This window comes from Homo sapiens, chromosome X (genome assembly GCF_000001405.40).
Source record: "Homo sapiens chromosome X, GRCh38.p14 Primary Assembly".
In the NCBI taxonomy this organism is placed as follows: domain Eukaryota; kingdom Metazoa; phylum Chordata; class Mammalia; order Primates; family Hominidae; genus Homo; species Homo sapiens.
Window position 1 is genome coordinate 28,309,346 of NC_000023.11, and position 18,990 is coordinate 28,328,335.

Sequence of the window (18,990 nt, forward strand, 5' to 3'; positions counted from 1 at the left end):
CAATTGTTTATTATTAATTCTATTGTAAAGTGATATAATCATTTAATTTATTTTATTGATTCTCTTCCCAGATCTTCATTTTATTTTATTCAATTTTCCGAGATATAAATTATTGCTCCCCCAAACACAAAAGATAACAAAAAAATGCTAATGAGTATTCTACTCCTTTAGTTCTTTTATAATCGAAAATGGCTGTGGTCTTGATACTACAGTGATCCTGTATGTGATAATCAATTTTACAATTACAGTTACCTTCAGAAATGTGTGGCCATTGGTCTGGATTTTTCCTCTTCAAAGTGATTTAAATTTTATGCTTGAATAACTAAACAATTGTTTATCCTTCCATTTCAATAATTTAACCAGACAATGTCTTAGCGTTTCTTGGAATATGGTGCTTTTTCCAATTTTGGATTGGTCTTTCATTTCAGAGAACTTGTTGTATATGTTTAAATCTTTGTTATTGGATTCCCTGATTCAGGTACATGGATTACTTTTATTTTGAATCATAATTGTCTACTTTCCATATCTATTATTTTTTCTGTAATTGTTTTAATCTTTTTATTTATTGTTATCTGCATTGACTATGATTGTATTAGCCATCTTTCCATGTTAGTCATTCAATTTTTGTCAGAGGTGTTTGAACCGGAGTGACTCCATCTTGAATAGGGTCAGGGTAAAATAAGGCTGAGACCTACTGGGCTGCATTTCCAGGTGGTCAGACATTCTTAATCACAGAATGGGATAACAGGTTGGAAGAACTAGTGTCACGATACAGGTCACAAAGACCCTGCTGATAAAACAGGATACGGCAAAGAAGCTGCCCCAAACCCACTAAAACCAAGATGGCAATGAAAGTGACCTCTGGTCATCCCACTGCTCATTATATGCTAATTATAATGCATTAGCATGCTAAAAGACACTCCCACCAGCCCCATGATAGTTTACAAATGCTATGGCAATATCCAGAAGTTGCCCTATATAGTCTAAAGTGGGGGAGGAACCCATAGTTCTAGAAATTGCTCACCCCTTTCCTGGAATACTCATGAATAATTCACCCCTTGTTTAGCATGTAATCAAGAAATAACTATAAGTATATTTAGTCAAGTAGCCCATGCTGGTGCTCTGGTCTATGAAGTAGCCATTGTTTTATTCTTTCACTTTCTTAATAAACTTGCTTTACTTTACTCTATGGACTTGCCCTGAATTCTTTCTTGTGTGAGTTCCAAGAACCCTCCCTTAGGGTCTAGATCTTATCAAAGGGGTCTAGAGACCCCTTTCTGATAACATTTTCAGTCATTTTGATTTTGTCCCTCTTAGGATATTTATTTCTAATTTATTTGTTCTGACTAGTATTTATTTTGTCCTCGATATATTCTTTCTTACGATTTGTGTTGGCACTTGGAAAATAAAACCCCCAAATATGGTGCTTTGATATGCTAAACTAAAGAAGCAACCTCAAGATCTCTCTGACCTCCTCCCCAACTCCAACTCAACACTCTCTCTCCAAAGCACAGGATGAAACTGATCTCTGAAGTTCCTTTATCTACCTAGAATCTGGACCTATCAAAGAGCAACAAATTGCCTTCAATCCCTTCCCTGAAATTTCATTAACGAGAGAAGATTAAAACTCATATCACAGAGGAAAGTATTGAAAATTAAACAACACATCTAGAGCCCAGATGAACTTTGTCCCAAACCATTGTTTGTTTGCTCATTCTATTCAGTTTCCAAAGAGAATCATTCACAAGATAATGTCTGCCTCCTGGGTCTGTTCATTCCCCCCTAAAAATCATTTACTCCTCCACTCCATTTCCCCTTCTCCTATGAAGAAGAGTATATAAGCATCTGCACCTCATTGGGTTATTGGGTAATTAATCTCCTGCAATTACTCCATGCTTTGCATGTTAACATAATTTTTATGCCTTTTCCCCTATTAATCTGACTATTGTCAGTTCATTTTCAGTGAAACTTTACAAAGCTAAGAGAAAGCTTTCCCTTGGGCCCTACAGATTTTGCACTGTGAGCAAGATAACCCCAAACTGTTAGCAGCGGAACATATCTGAGTCATGCAGCACCAAAGTATGTTACCGGCAATTAATCCATATGGGACTGCACCAACTTCAATTCTTGCCTCCTCAGAAGAAAGAATTTGACTGAGGGGCATAAGGCAGAAGGAAAGACCAAGACAAGTTTTAGAGCAGGAGTAAACATTTATTAAAAAGCTTTAGAGCAGGAAGGAAAAGAAATAAATTACACTTGGAAGAGGGCCAAGCGGACAACTTGAGAGATGAAGTGTGCAGTTTAATCTTTTGACTTGGAGTTTTAAACATTGGCATGCTTCCAGGGTCTTGCGTCCTTTCTCCTTTGATTCTTCCTTTGGGGAGGGCTGTCCATATGTGCAGTGGCCTGCTAGCACTTGAGAGGGGCTGCATGAGCAGTGTGTTTACTGGAGTTGTGTGCATGCTCACTTGAGGTGTTCTTCACTTACCAGTCGAGTGTCCCTAGAAGGTCATGTATCAGGTAAATGCCACCATTTTGCCTCTTAATGTGCATGATTGAGGCCACTTGCCCAACTCCTGAGATCTTATCAGGAGGCGGCTGATCACCAGTTTCAGGTGTTTTCTATCTAGTGCCTTTCCCTAGCGCTGGCTGCAACCAATTATTATAGTAGCTTAACAACCACCTAACCATCACCTCATGGTCGCCTGACATTCATGGTGGGGGCGGCCCTTCTCCTGCCCTGCTCGTGTCTGGTGTCTGACTAGCTACCTACTATAACAAAACCACTCTGCTCTTCTGGAAGTTATAGTCAAGGGAACCCAGGACCTGACAAGCCTGCAAAAAGGGAAAGAATTTCTTACCAATCAGATTCCTGGGTGTCTATCTGTGGAATCTGATCAAGCAGAAGGTAAAAATCACTGTTTATCTCTTTTTTTTTTTCCTTTTCAAGTTCAGATTAATAGGAGAAATGCGTTTGTATGAAAAAGTCCTTACGTTTAGTGACTCTGGTGTAGTTTTATCATGGGGGTTGCAACCCATTTTTAAAATGCCACTTATGTTCCTGGTATTCAAGCCTGGCTAGTTACCTCTGGGACTTTCCATAAAGAAGGTTTATTGGCTTGAGTCACTTTTAAAATAAATAAATTAGCTATATTTAAAAGAATAAAAGAAAACTTTTCAGAGAGCGCTCATCTTAAACAGCTATCTCATTGGTACCTATGAAAAGATGCAACAGAAATATAACCTTAAATACTTCCTTGACAAGATTTTTAAAAAGCAGAAATCAGATTTAAAACAAAATTAACATTTTTTGAACACTCAAACTGCTCACTTTGGATTTCCTGTGGGATTTGCAAAAAGGCACTTCAGCCTGTGGTTAGGATTTGGTGCCAAGGACTGGGTTCAATTCCCAACCAGGAAACCAGTCCCTTAGAAATGTAAATCCTTTAACTCGGAAAAAAAGAGAAACATTTATAAGAATTAGTTTGAATTATTTGTTTTGAGTTTATATTAGTATGACTTTTAACTTTTGGGGGGTACCCATTCATTTGTAATCCTTTCTTTCCCCATGGACATCTTTTGATTTCCTGTTTATCTTACCAGCTGTTTGTTTCTTTTAATTTACCATCTATCGGGGCACACAGGTTGTTAGACTATTGTGTGCAGACAGTTAGCTGAGAGGTTGAGACCCCAGAGAATATAGCTGGACAGAGAAGTGGGTTGCACCCCACTGTGGCTAGCAAAACTTTCCTTTCTTTAAGCCGTGGTTGAGAGTGGAAGGGTTACAGCTTTTTGCTTCCTCTTTGGAGATGTTGGTTAAGGCCATAAAGGACTTCATGGTTTTGGTTTCATGTGTATTTATTTGTTTTGGTTTTGAGTCATTTGAAGGTATGCCTTTGATTTAAAACTTTGGTTTATATTTAGAGCATGATAGCAACTATTTTTCCCACTTATCCCACTTTCTCTTCTGGAGCAGAGAGATAGGCCTCCCGCTGAAATTCAGCCAGCTTCTCCCAGGTGTAGGGAGTGAAGGGTGATCCTGCTCCCACCATTCAGGTGAAATGCTGGCTGCTCACAATATGGCAAAATGTTTGCTGCTTGTCCTAGATGAAAACCTAATAATAAGATATTTATAATATTTTTTAAAAAGCTCTATAATCAAAAGTCAGCTTAATTGAAAACTGACAATCATGCCAAATATATATCTTTAAGGCTTACCCCATTTCTCTATGTTGGGTTTTTGCTTCTCCCCACAGGAACTTCTTAGTTGACTAGATCCCTTTTTCTCAAACTCCTGCTAACTAGAACTTCATTGACCTTTTGGGAAGTGTAGAAACTCCCCAGACGGGTTCCTCTAAAACTTGTTCTCCCATTCACTTCTGTCCCTCCTTCCTCTTGCCACTTTTGATATCATATAAAGGGATCTAAAGGAGACATCCAGAAATCATGAGGCCCCTTGAGGAATACAAAAAAAGGTACCACTAACTCCCCTTTTACTGGGGGTCATCTGCCTTCCTCACAGAATCCTGAAAGTGGTAGCCAGGTTCCTCTCAGGCCTAAAGCTTTGCTCTCTTTTGCATTGAATTCCTTGAACTCTTTGGCTTTTAGATGCATACATGTATACACATATGTGTTGCATGTTGTGTCTACATGTATGTATATGTCTATGTGTTTGTATGTTTTCTACATGGCACCAAATTGACTTAAAAATAAACAGTCATAAATAACTAGCCCAAATACTTTTCTAGTTCATGTGACTTTAATAAATCTTTGGTAAGTAAAGCTAGTTTTAAAATTGTTAGTAAAATAAAAATGCCTTCAAAATTTAATTTAGACATTTTTGCTTGGGTCTACTGTTCAGACAGATTTATGATTTCTCTGCTAGATGTTTTCAGGTCATAAAACTATTGCTTCTGTGATATTTTTGATACTGCTTGATTTGTCTGTGAGCAAAAGCTGTGACAGCTGGCTGTTGGGCTCCCCCAAAGCCTTGCAGACATCTTGTTGCTAGTTTATGTCTTTGATTTTGAGCTTCTGAATTCTGTCTGGATAGGTGGCCATAGTGAGGTCTGGGAGCATATGTGTGTCTGTGGCTCCTGGGACACCAGCTGTAAGGCAGAGCCAGGTCCAGTGTGGCCCTGATGTCCCTGGTCTAGCTCTGCCTCCTGGCCATTCTGGAAGGGGTTGCATCCTTGAGGCATTGTCTTCACAGCTCTGCCATCTGTCCTGGAATTCGTATCTGAGATGTAAATTTAGGACCCAGACGCCCTTCCCTTCATAGCTGCTCTTAGTGACATGTGAGTACTTGAGACCCAGGATGACAGTGGAGAAGGGGGTACATTAGAGAAAGTACCTATTTCTGGTATCTCAAAGGCCTTGGTTAAGATGGGATTGACTAATGCAGAGTTAACATAATTTTGCTTTTCTCAAAAGGGGAAAAAAATAACGTAAGTGGCTAGCTTAATTTTCCATGAGCAATCCAAATATAATTGTTAAGAATGATTACATTTGCTAAATCTAAATGGGATAAACATTTATAAATAAACTTGTCATAGTTTCAAAAGTCTTTCTAGTAATTTAAAGACTTAAAGTCAAATTTTGTTAAGTAATAATCGTGAAATGTCTGAGTCATTTCTAGGAAAAATAAAATACAAATATATTAATTGCTAAACATATGTTCAAGTTTATTTACTTTTAGTTTCTTAAAATTTATGAAAAAGGGAAGGGCTTCAAGATGGCTGACTAGAGGCAGCTGGCACTTGCCTCCTCCACAATGAAGAACCAAAATAGCAAGTAGATAATCAAACTTCAAATAGATCATATAAGAGATAAAACTGGAATTCTACAAAGCAGTGTCAGAAAACACTTAAACCAAGGAAGGAGAGGGAAGCAGGGCCACCTGCTCAGCTGGAATTAGCTGGGAGCCTGAAGAAGCTCCCCGGTAACAGGAAAGGGTAAGTGAGTGACCCACAGCAGTCCACATTTCCACCATGATGCTTGCATCCTAGCCACGGAAAAGTCCCTAGACCCTCATAGCCCCATGGCTAACATAGGGAGCTGCCTGGAGACTGTGCGGAAGCATTGCTCCAAAGAGAGGGTTCACAGAGGATGTCACAAACTCCCTGAGTTCTAACAAGCTACAGCAAAGGGCAATATTGAGAACTCAGTCCCTACCAGATTGCATCCAGACCAGGGGCCCAACAGCTCCTGCATCTCCACATCTCTAAGCCCCATTGACATTCCCTGCCCACAGCAACTACTGCAGCTGTCTACTGCCTCCAGGGCTGAAGCACAAGTCACTGGCAAAGACCACGCTATCTCCAGCAGCAAAGCCTCCACAAATTTTCACACATCCTGAAGACAAACTTTCTCATCCTTAGCAGCCACTGCTACAGGATGCCAGAGCTGTGGCCAAAGCACAGCTAAAGTGCATGCTCCCCAGCTGCCTGCATGTGGCAGCTGCCACTGAAAGCAGCCCCGCCCTCCCCAGTAGCAAGGCTATAGTACAGCCACTGTTGCCCTCATTCAAGCATTCTACCTTGGGCCTGGGAATTATCCCACTCCTGCATACCACAACCAGTGCCTGCATGCATCACTGGAGGCCTGAGGACATGTCTGCCTGGCCCAGCTCCACCCACCCAACCCCAGGTCCCAAGCCCACTCACCAGGGTCCTGGGGACCAGCCCACTACAGCCAACTCCAGCACAGACCACTAGGGACTCAGAGGATAATCCCACTATTGGAACTGACCTCACCCATGCCATGCCCATTGCCCAGGGACCCGAGAGCCCAGCCACCTGTCCACCTCACTGCTGCCACTACTGGCACCCAAGCAAGTCACCTGGAGACCCAGGAATTGGTTCACCTATACCTACTAACAGTGGTGCCAGCATATGCTACCCTGGAGCTGAAGATCAGGCATGCTCAGTCCAATGCTGCCACCACTGGGACTTGAGGACAGGCCCACCAGATGTCCCAGTCCCCAGCAAATCATCATCACAGCTTCCACTAACAACTGCACCATAAGTCATTGAGGAAATCATAGATACCACTGATGCTGTTCACAGCTGAAGAAATCATATGGAGACTACTTTACTGCACACACTCAGAATCAAAACCAAAGTGCCCTACCCAACCAACACAATAGATGTATCTTCAAGAAAATGACCTCCCCTACAGAAGCAAATTCAGAAAATTGAAAGAAGCAACTGTTACACGAGATATACAGATATCAATATAAGGACACAAGAAACGTGAAAAAGCAAGAAAATATGGCAAATCCAAAGAAACACAATAATTCTCCAGCAACAGATGCCAATCAAAAAGAAATTTATGAAACCTTGGATAAAGAATTCCAAATAAAATAATAAAGCATCTGAGTGAAATACAAAGGAATACTTAAAATTAATACAATAAAATCAGAAAAAATTCGGAATACGAGGCTGGGCGCAGTGGCTCACGCCTATAATCCCAGCACTTTGGGAGGCCAAGGCGGGTGGGTCACTTGAGGTCAGGAGTTCGAGACCAGCCTGGCCAACATGGTGAAACCCTGTCTCTACTAAAAATACAAAAATTAGCTGGGCGTGGTGGTGGGCGCCAGTAATCCCAGCTATTTAGGAGGCTGAGGCAGGAGTATTGCTTGAACCTGGGAGGCAGAGGTTGCAGTGAGCCAATATCTGACCACTGCACTCCAGCTTGGGCGACACAGCGTGACTGCACCTCAAAAAATAATAAAAAAAAATTCAGAACACGAATGAGAAATCACCAAAAAGAAAGATATCAAAAACCACACAAAAATTCTGAAACTGAAGAATTTTAAATCTCAGAACATGCACAATGGTCTTTTGAAATAACCTAGTCAGTCAAAAATAAAGAAAAAATTAAAAAAGATTTAGAAAAGCCCTCATGACACATGAGACACCATAAATCAGTTCAACATATGCAAATCAATATATACAAATCAGCATATGCAAATCAATAAATGCAACACAACACATGAATCTCTGGGATGAATAAAAATACAAAAACATCAACAGAATGAAGGACAAAAACCATATGACTATCTCAGTAGGTGCAGAAAAAGCATTTAATAAAATTCAACATCCTTTCATGACAAAAACTCTCAACAAACTAGGCATAGAAGGAACATACCTTAACATAATGAAGGCCATGTATGATAAACCCATGGCTGTCATCATACTGAATGGGGAAAAGCTAAAAGCCTTTCCTCTAAGAATGGAACAAGTATGCCTACTTTCACCACTCTTATTTGATATAGTACTTGAGTTTCTAGCCAGAGCAATTAGGCAATAGAAAAAAATTTTATCAAAATTGAAAAATAAGAACTCAAATGTACCTTTTTGCCAATGACATGATCTTATATCTAGAAATACCTAAAGACACCACCAAAAACCTCTCAGATCTGATAAATAAATTCAGTAAAGTTTCAGAATACAAAATCAATATACAAAAATTAGTAGTGTTTCTATACACCATTAATGAACTGCTTGAGAAGGAAATCAAGAAGGCAGTTCCATTAACAATAGCTATAAAAAGTTAGAAATAAATTTAACCAAGTAGGTAAAAGATCTGTACAAGGAAAACTAAAAAATGCTGATGAAAAGAATTGAAGAGGACACAAACGAATGGAAAGACATTCCATGCCCATGGATCAGAATAATTAATGTCATTAAAATGCCCATACTTCACAAAACGATCTACAGTTTCAATGCAATCCCTGTCAAAATACCAATGCCATTTTTCACAAAATTAGAAAAAACAATCTTAACACTTGTATGGAATAAAAAACGAGCCCAAATAGTCAGTGCAATCCTGAGCAACACTAACAAGGCTGGAGGCATCATGCTACCTGGCTTCAAAGTATATTATAAGGCTATAGTAACCAAAACAGCATGGTATTGTTGTAAAAACAAACATAGGCAAATGAAAGAGAATAAAGAACCCAGAAATAAATTCACATATTTACAGCCAACTGATTTCAACGAAGGTGCCAAAAACATTCAGTGGGAAAAGGACACACTCTTCAGTAAATGGTGCTGGGAAAAATGGATATCCATATACATTAGAAGAAAACTGGACCTCTGTCTCTCATCGTATACAAAAATCAACTCAAGATGGATTAAAGGCTTAAATGTAAGACCTGAAACTGTAAAACTATTAGAAGAAAATATGCAGAAGACATTTCAGGATATTGAGCTAGGCAAAGATTCTATTGCTACGACCTCAAAAGCACAGACAACAAAATCAAAAATAGATAAATGGTACGATATTAAACTAAAAAGCTTCTGCACAGCAAAAGAAACAACAGAGTGAAGAGACAAACCATTGAATGGGAGAAAATATTTGCGAACCATTCATCCAACAAGGGACTAATATCCAGAATATATAAGGAGCTCAAATAACAGGAAAAAAAAATAATGCTATTAAAAGGCAGGTAAAAGACATGAATAGACACTTCTCAAAAGAAAACATACAAATGGCCAACAAGTATATGAGAAAATGCTCAACATCACTAATCATCAGGGAAATGCAAATCAAAACCACAATGAGATATCACCTCAACCCAGTTCGAATGGCTATTACTAAAAAGACAAAAAATAACAGATGCTGGTGAAGATGCAGAGAAAAGGGAACTCTTATAAACTAAGTTGGAATGTAAAGTAGTACAGTCATTATGGATAACAGTATGGAGATTTCTCAAAAAATTAAAAATAGAACTACAATATGATCCAGCAATCCCACTACTGGGCATTTCTCCAAAGAAAAAGAAATCAGTATATCAAAGGGATACCTGCACACCCATGTTTATTGAAGCACTATTCACAATGGCAAAGATATGGAATCAACCCAAGTGTCCATCCATGGATGAATGGATAAATAAAATGTGATATATAGATATATAGATATACACACACACGATGGAATACTCTTTGGCCATAAAAAAGAATGAAATCATGTCATTTGCAGCAACATGGATGGAACTGGAGGTCATCGTGTTAAGTGAAATAAGCCAGGCATAAAAAGACAAATATCTCATGTTCATGCTCATATGTGGTAGCTAGAGAAATTCATTTCATGGTGGTAGAGAATAGAATGATATAAACCAGAGGCTGGGAAGGGTTTGGAGGAGAAGGATAAATAGAGGTTGTTACCAGAGGCTGGGAAGGGTTTGGAGGAGAAGGATAAACAGAGGTTGGTTGGTGGGTACAAACATACAGTTAGATGGAAGAAATAAGTTCTAATGTTTGAGAGCAGAGTAGATTGACTATAGATAACAACAATGCATTTTATATTTCAAAATAGCTAAAAGAGAGGACTTGAAATATTCGCAACACATAGAAATGATAAATACTCGAGGTGATGGACATCCCACTACCTCAATTTTATTATACAGTCTATGCATGTAACAAAGTATCACGTGTGCCCCATAAATATGTACAATTTGTATCAATAAAAATTCATGAAAAGACCAAATATATTCAGGTTTGCTAGTAAATATATCCTTTTCCATAAAAATTGATAAATCATATTTTCCTAAAAATTATAAAATATGTATTTATAAAATGTTTTGGTACATAAAAATGAAAGTTGCTTGCTTCATATGTCTCTGACTGAAAATTAGGGTTCCTAGAAGTTACAATTTTAATTAACATATCTAGTTGGAACTACTAGACATAAAAGAAACAGTTCTGTATACAGCATACACACAAAAATAGAGCTGATTTTTGGTGATGAAAGTTATAAGAAAGACATGAGGATGTGTTTTTTGTCCTTTTGTAACAGGACACAATTGGATATACTGGTTATTTTACCAAGGTTTTGACTGGAATGTTATATTTTCAGATGTGACCAGACTGCTTTGTGATATTGAGGTCGACTCCTTGGGAAGCAAAAAAATAAAAAAATTTAAAAAATTAAATCCCCTGGAAAAACTGGCCTGATACCTTAAATATGCAGTTCACCTGGTTGCCTTTATAGGAGGGCAAAGAATGTCATTTTCTAGAAGGCCCAAGAACTTGAGAGTATTTTGGGGACCTCAAAAAGAGAAGTATTCACCCAATTTGTACAAGTATTACAGAATCATTCTGATGGCAATCCTTAGCTTGACTCTTTACCCTCAAGAGACTTTTTAAAAAAGTTTAATCCAAGATTTCTTATGAATAGTTTCAGCTAAGCCAATCTACAAAAAGCCTGTATGAACAATAACTGTCTTTGCTGTACTTTATTCAAATAATCAGGTGAAGTATAATATGACTAGAGCTTATTTTGCAAATAAATTGGTCTTTCTTTGATTTGTCTTTGGTAGAAATGAGGTACTGGAGAAAAAAAATTATGTTTTAGAAGAAAAGTACACCTATTATTAGATTTAAGCTCATTGCTTTTTTTTTTTTTTGGTTTGGTTTTTTTTTTTTTTTTTTTTTTTGAGACGGAGTATCGCTCTGTCGCCCAGGCTGGAGTGCAGTGGCACAATCTGGGCTCACTGCAAGCTCCACCTCCCGGGTTCACGCCATTCTTCTGCCTCGGCCTCCCGAGTAGCTGGGACTACAGGTATGTGCCACCATGCCCGGCTAATTTTTTTTGTTTTTTTTGTATTTTTAGTAGAGATGGGATTTCACCATGTTGGTCAGGCTGATCTCGAACTCCTGACCTCGTGATCTGCCCACCTTGGCCTTCCAAAGTGCTGGGATTACAGGCGTGAGCCGCTGCTCCCGGCAGCTCATTGTTTTTGAGATTTTGTTACCTGCAACTTGAACTGGATCTGAATTTCTTATACTTTCCTCCAATACCTGGCTGAGTCTTTAATGTTTTCCATGTTTTTCTCCCACACTTCTGACTGGGAATTGCTAAAATTTAAAACTGCCTTTTTCCTGAGGCTGAAACTAGTCAACTTGGCTTTGAAGAAAAATCCCCACAACAGCTTATATGTGAACAAACTTTGTACACACAAACTGCAAACCAGAAAAATCTGTCAGATTGCCACTAATCTTCTCAACTGAATGCCCTCCAGACTCTGGAGAAACTAGCTTACAGACTACTCCAGACATTAACCTTTGTTTTTCTTCTGTTTCCATAGAAATGTCTCTTATTAACGATCTGTTTGCTGGCATCATATATAAAGGCCTAGCTTTGAGAGCCCATCTACAGCACCATCTCCTGAAATGAGATGTAGCATTTTAATTGGACTGGCCTATTCCCAAAAATGAAAGACTGGTTTAATGGGATCTTTTGCCACTCAGCTCCTGACACAATTTTTTTCTCCACAGCCGTGAACTCAACTTTTAATGTATGAGTCTTCTAGGGAAGTTTCAGCCTGTGTAATGTTAGAGTGTGTGAGCCCTGAATATCTGAGATGGGTCTCAGTTAATTTAGAAAGTTTATATTGCCAAGATTGAGGACATGCACCCATGACACAGCCTCAGGAAGTCCTGATGACATGTGCCCAAGGTGGTCAGAGCACAGCTTGGTTTTATACATTTTAGGGAGACATGAGGCATCAATCAACATACGTAAGATGAACATTGGTTCGATCCAGAAAGATGGAACAACTTGAAGCAAAGGCGGGACAACTCAAAGCAGGGGAGGGAGCTTTCCAGGTCAAGGTAGATAAAAGACAAATGGTTGCATTCTTTTGAGTTTCTGATTAGCCTCTCCAAAGGAGGTAATCAGATATGCATTTATCTCAGGGAGCAGAGGGGTGACTTTCAATAGAATGGGAGGCAGGTTGGCCCTAAGCAGTTCCCAGTGAGAGACAGGACTAGCAGTATTTCCTAGGCTGACTAAGAATTCCTAAACCTAGCTGTGGAAGGTGACCGCACCCACCTTTAAACACGGGCTTGTAACTCAGCTCACACCTGACCAATCAGGTAGTAAAGAGGCCTCACCAAAATACAAATTAGGCTAAAGCAGGAGGTAAAGAAATAGTCAAATCATTTATCGCCTGAGAGCATAGGGGGAGGGACAGTGATCGGGATATAAACCCAGGCATTCGAGCAGGGAGTGGACAACCCCCTTTGGGTCCCCTCCCATTGTATGGGAGCTCTCTTTTCACTCTATTAGATCTTGCAACTGCACACTCTTCTGGTGCGTGTTTGTTACGGCTTGAGCTGAGCTTTCGCTTGCCGTCCACCACTGCTGTTCGCCGCCGTCCCAGACCCGCCGTTGACTTCCACCCCTCCTCCGGATCCGGCAGGATGTCCACTGCACTCCTGATCCAGCGAGGTGTCCATTGATGCTCCCGATCGGGCTAAAGACTCACCATTGTTCCTGCACGGCTAAGTGCTCAGGTTCGTCCTAATTGAGCTGAACACTAGTCACTGGGTTCCATGGTTCTCTTCCGTGACCCATGGCTTCTAATAGAGCTATAACACTCACCGTATGGCCCAAGGTTAAATTCCTTGGAATCTGTGAGGCCAAGAACCCCAAGTCAGAGAACAAAAGGCTTGCCGCCATCTTGGGAGCGGCCCACCGCATCTTGGGAGCTCTAAGAACAAAGACCATCCCGTAACACCAGCTTGACTTTTCCCTTTAGCTTAGTGATTTGGGGGTCCCAATATTTATTTTTCCCTTCACAGGTGCAAAAACATATCCCCAAATATGGCCCTTTGATAAGCTGAACTAAAGAATCAGTCTCAGAGTCTCTCTGACCTCATCCCGGGGTCCCAACTCTCAACATTCTGTCGCTCCCAATGCACAGGAGGAAGTTATTTTCTGAAGTTCCCTTATCTACCTTGAATCTAGACCCACCAAGGAGGAACACAATTACCTTCAACCCCTTCCCTGAAATTTTATTAACTACAGAAGAATAAAATACATATCACAGAGGAAAGGACTGAAAATTAACCACCACACTTAGAGCCCAGAAGAACTTTGTTTCAAACCATTGTTTTTCTCTGGTCCCATTCAGTTTCCAAAGAGAATCATCTACAAGACAATGTCTGCCTCCTGGGTCCATTCATTCCCGTCTAAAATACATTTACTCCCCACCCCCATCTCCCCTTCCTCTATGAAGAAAAGTATATAAACCTCTGGATTTAATTGGGTTATTGGAGACTCATTCTATGATTACCACACACTATGCACGTTTAGTCAATCTGTATGCCATTTCTTCTATTAATCTATTTTCAGTGAACCTTCAGAGGGTAAGGAAAGCTTTCCCTTGGCCTCTATGTCTGCAATCTCCATTATCATCTTATATTATCTCATCTTTGAGCTCTAGTTGTATTGAATGCATACATTGTTTCATAATGCAAAGCACAGGTTGGGAATTACCTTCTCCTTGGGCTATATTTTATTCTAAACTGGATAATTTGTGTTTTACATCACCCTCGCTTCTCCTGCTTTTCACCCTTCCTTTTTTATAGTTATCCTGTTCCTTTTCATCTTGCTGAAGCTTAGGCTCCACTCTCTAGCTATGTTTTTTTCTGATGTTTTGTAGATAACATTTTAACTCCTTTCCCACCATTTTGTTTCATTCTGAGCTGCAGTTTGAAGACAGCTTATAGACCTACTTCACCTCATCCCTCACCCCGCTTACATCCACCTGCCTGCTTCCATAACTTGAGATCATATAATGGGAGAGAAAGTTCAGTTCAGGCAATGATTTATGTTTGTTAAAAATTTCTTAGGCTCAGCACATTCTTCTAAGAGTTTGTTAAATGTCTCATTAGCGTTTACCCCTCCTACTTGAAAAGTAGTGTATACCATTGCCACAGAGGAATAAATCTGCCAAAGATAAACAAAGCTGGACATTATAGTGGTAAAAACATATTTTATTCAGTGACTGCTGACAGTCAGTGAAAGAGCTGAGTTCCTTTTCTATATACACAGAGGTAACTAGGTGTTTTAAAAGGAAAATGAACGAATATAGGGAAGGAAAAGAGGGGAGGTGCTCAAGTGGATTCAAGGAAGTCAAAAATTACAAAGAGTTGGTCAGTGTCAATGCGACTGGGCTAGCTATGTCTGCTAGCTGGCAAGTACGGAAGTTAGGATTCTATCCACCTATAGAGACCGGGAGACAGAGGCCCTATCTATCTAAATGATTGCATTTCAAAGGAATGACTCTCATCCTTCAGAAAAACACTTCCGAGTTGTAGGAGATGCATATACATCTCAAAGTGACAGAGGAATGATTCACCATTGTAAGCCCTGTCTAGTAAATGCTCTAAGAAAGGGAGGTCCGGGGCCTATTTTCAGGTGTTGGCTAGAACAGTCAGTTCTTTTGAAAAACCTGAGCTTTTCCAGAGAGGAACTTAAAAGGGGGCTGTGTCCCAGGGACATGACCTTAGGCTGCTAGAAGCCCTGCAAATGTTGGTCAGGTCTCTTAGCGCAGGTGTTTGGATGATGTGTTCTTACTGACAGGTTTTGCAGTTCTTAAACCTCGGAATTCTAATTGCTTTCAATTGGGTGAGGCCTATAATCATCATTTCCATTAGAAAGGGTCAGCTCTCCCGTTCTTCTCCCCAGTGGCTCTTTTTCCTAAATCCACAGACAGAAGAGGGAAAAGATAAATGTTCAGTTTTCTTATTTCCAAATTTGGGAGTTTGGTGACAACTCCCAGAATATTTTTTAACTTACCAGGAGTTTCTTGGGTCTGGGATTGGGGAATGGAGTAGCAGTTGTGCTCCTCAGAGATGATGCAGAATATTCTTTTTTCCTTCTTTGGCCTCCACTTTTGGATTATTTGCCTGACAGTGTTGAACTTTACCTGATCTATGTGCTCCTGGAAAATAATGACTAAGGAGGCTCCCAACCCCTTTGTGTTCCCAGAAGTGGCTACCCGCAAAGGACCAAACTGCTCTTGCATTTGCCAGCATAAGACCCACCTCCACCTTTCTTCAATAACTCCCTTGTTTTATAAAACACCAGGCTTTCTTCTACTTTTCTGAAAAAAAAATCCTACCTAATAAATGTTCTCCCTATTGAAATTGCCTGAATAAATAATTTCCTTAGTGCATTTTGTGTCTCATATCCCTTTCATATTCTTTACCTTAGTATGTGATCCTACTCATTACTTGTTTTTAATTTTTTGTTTCTTTGTTTTATTTCCTTGGATATTGGCAGTGAGATTATGTGATAAGGTACTCGTCTACCAACCTAAACTGGAAATCCAGCTGTAGCTTTTAAATCTTTATATTCTACTTTGGGAAAACAACATTTAAAGATGACACGCAAACAAGATAGGGAACACAAACTGTTTTCCTAGACCATCTGTGTGCTACTGACTTTCACTTGAGCCTTGTAAATGATGAGCCACTCAGACATTGAATTGTTCAAGATAAAAATACAATGATTTAATGCAGTAAATCTCAAAAATGGAAGGTGTCTTAGTCCGTTTTCTATTGCTTATAACAGAATACCTGAAACTGAGTAATTTATTTTTAAAATGTATTTATTTCTTACAATTATGAAGGCTCAAAAGTTCCAGATCACAGGGCTACATCTGGTGAGAGCCTTCTTGCTGGTGGAGACTCTGTAGTTTCATGGCAGTACAGGTTGTCACATGGTGAAGGGGTTGAGCATGCTCACGTCTCTCTTATAAAGCCCCCAGTTTCAATCTCATAGTAATTCATTAATCCATTAATTCATTAAGTCATGAATGGACTTTGCCTTCATGACCCAATCACCTCGTAAAACCCGACCTTTCAATACTGCCACATTGAAGATTAAATGTGTTTTGGAAGGGACAAATATTAAACCATAGTGTTGAAGAAAAGAGTCAAACTCTGTAAAATATTTGAAGAGATCTATTCTGAGCCAAATATGAGTGACCATGGCCTGTGACCCAGACCTCAGGAGGTCCTGAGAACATGTACCCAAGGTGTTCGGGGTACAGCTTGGTTTTATATATTTTAGGGAGGCATGACACATCAAATATGTTTAAGAAATACGTTGGTTTGGCTCAGAAAGATGAGACCTGGGGGGTTGGGGGGGCGGGGCTTCCAGGCTATAGGTATCTGGTTGACAATTGGTTGAGTTTGTCTAAAGACCTGGGATCCATAGAAAAGAAATGTTCAGGTTAAAATAAAAGATTGTGGAGACCAAGGTTCTTTGGAAGTCTTATGGTGGCTGCCCTTAGAGACAGTATTTGACCAATGTTTCCTATTCAGATCTTTAAAAGGTGCTAGACTTTTAGTTAATCTCTTCAGGATTGCAAGAGGCTGGAAGAAAAAGATCTAGCTATGTTAATAGAGATTCTTTACATATGCAGATTTTCTCCCACAAAGGACAGCTTTGCAGGGCCATTTCAAGATATGGCAGAGAAACATGTTTTGGGCTAAAATATTATTTTCTTCCTTGTCTTGTAATGTTATGCCAGAATCATATTGGAAAGTAAGTCATGATGTATAGGGTTAAATAAAACTCATCTGATGAGAATTCATGGTTTGTAGGGCATGACTCCCCAGACCCCTTAGACAGGAATTTGGGCAAGATAAAAAAATCAGAGTTTAGTCCTCAATAGCAAAGGGGCAGGAAGACTTGGTGAGAAAGCAATGAATATCACAAAAAAATTTTTTTTTCATCTATTAGGGAAAACATGTGATTCATATTCATCTGCTGCTTTTTCTCCCAGGCTATCTTGCCCCTCCTACAATGGCCCGCTTGTAGTTTCTAAAATATCACAAACACATTCCCACCTCAGAGAGTTTGCACTTGTTGTTCCCTCTCTCAGAATTTTCTTCTTCTATATATTGTCAAATAAAAGACAAATCTAGACTTAGAATCACTTCTCGGCCTTCTGGCTAAGATCAAATGTAGACTTAGTTAAGGGAAGACTTTACTCAGAAGGGTTACTACATGAAGAAGAGGGATGCTAATACAATAGGGAAGGTGCTTCTATCATGAGATCCGCAAGTATGTTCAGGTTTAGAAAAGGGCTTCTTTTTTTTAACAGGGAGGAGTAAACCAAACTAGAAAGAAACAGGTGGGGGTAAAGGAGTAAGGAAATATGTTTTCTTCCTCCATCACTAGGTTGATAGCTTAGGCCTCTACGACAAAAGATAGATTAACAAGAGAAAATTATACAAATGCATGTAATGTAAATTTTACATGACACAGGAGCCTTACCCCCAAAATAGGTAAACTTGTGTATTTTTATGCTTAGGCTTGGTGAAAAGTGGACAGTCATGGTGAAATATGATTGGAGGACAAAAGGGTATGATCTAATGGTAATAAACTGAGGGGAACTTAGCAAGACATGTTTGTTTACTCTTTGTGCATCTGTGTCTACAGAGATAAGGATGTTCCTTTCCTCCAGATACAGGGAAGGCACCTCTCAAATCAGGCTCTTATGACCTTCATCTGGGGGAGAAGGGCAGGGGAAAAGTGAGAGGACCTTTCTGCTTCTGCTTTTTTCTCAAATGGAAGGTGCCATATTTTGTGGTATCGTATCTGGAGTCCTACTGGGGAAAGGGAGGCAAGCGAGGGTGGTGTGATCATATCAGATAATGTTTTACCCTGAAGTAAGCTTACTCTCAAAAGGGGTTGTTAAGGAGAGGTTGTATTCTGGCTCAGACTGAGGGTGGGTCAAATTTTAGGGGTCTGGGAGGAGAGAAACAACCAAATTTTGGTTAACAAGTATTTTGTTCCAATTGATCAGTACAGCCAAAACATTTCACCTGGTCATTTATGAGATGAAGCCGTAAATTGGGTAGGGAAGGTCTGTATCTGACCCTGTCATAGGTAAACAGTAGGGGGTGGGTATCTGTGAATTTTATCTAAGTTTTATGTTTCTTTGCCATGATCCACTTCCCAGGATACAATGCATGGGGGCGGGGATTCTCTTAATCACTGCTATTTTCCAGTAGTAAGGGCTCAGGTAAAAGAAATGAATATAACAAAAGAATTTGTTGTTGCTGTTGTTTTACATATGAGGGAAAACACGTGATTCACATTCCTCCTCTCCTTCCAGCTCATCTTTCCCTTACTACGTGAACTGCTCGTGATAAACATCACAAGTTCATGCCCATTTCA

At 39.7% G+C, this 18,990-nt stretch overlaps 3 annotated features.

The window, feature by feature from the left end:
• Positions 13,299–14,229: an enhancer, noted in NCBI's record as "OCT4-NANOG-H3K4me1 hESC enhancer chrX:28340761-28341691 (GRCh37/hg19 assembly coordinates)". NCBI's record gives its function as "activates a minimal SCP1, AML or CMV promoter by ChIP-STARR-seq in naive and primed H9 embryonic stem cells {active_cell/tissue: H9 hESC(naive and primed)}" and the evidence as "EXISTENCE:reporter gene assay evidence [ECO:0000049][PMID:30033119]".
• Positions 14,865–15,420: an enhancer, noted in NCBI's record as "OCT4-NANOG-H3K27ac hESC enhancer chrX:28342327-28342882 (GRCh37/hg19 assembly coordinates)". NCBI's record gives its function as "activates a minimal SCP1, AML or CMV promoter by ChIP-STARR-seq in naive H9 embryonic stem cells {active_cell/tissue: H9 hESC(naive)}" and the evidence as "EXISTENCE:reporter gene assay evidence [ECO:0000049][PMID:30033119]".
• Positions 16,909–17,460: an enhancer, noted in NCBI's record as "NANOG hESC enhancer chrX:28344371-28344922 (GRCh37/hg19 assembly coordinates)". NCBI's record gives its function as "activates a minimal SCP1, AML or CMV promoter by ChIP-STARR-seq in primed H9 embryonic stem cells {active_cell/tissue: H9 hESC(primed)}" and the evidence as "EXISTENCE:reporter gene assay evidence [ECO:0000049][PMID:30033119]".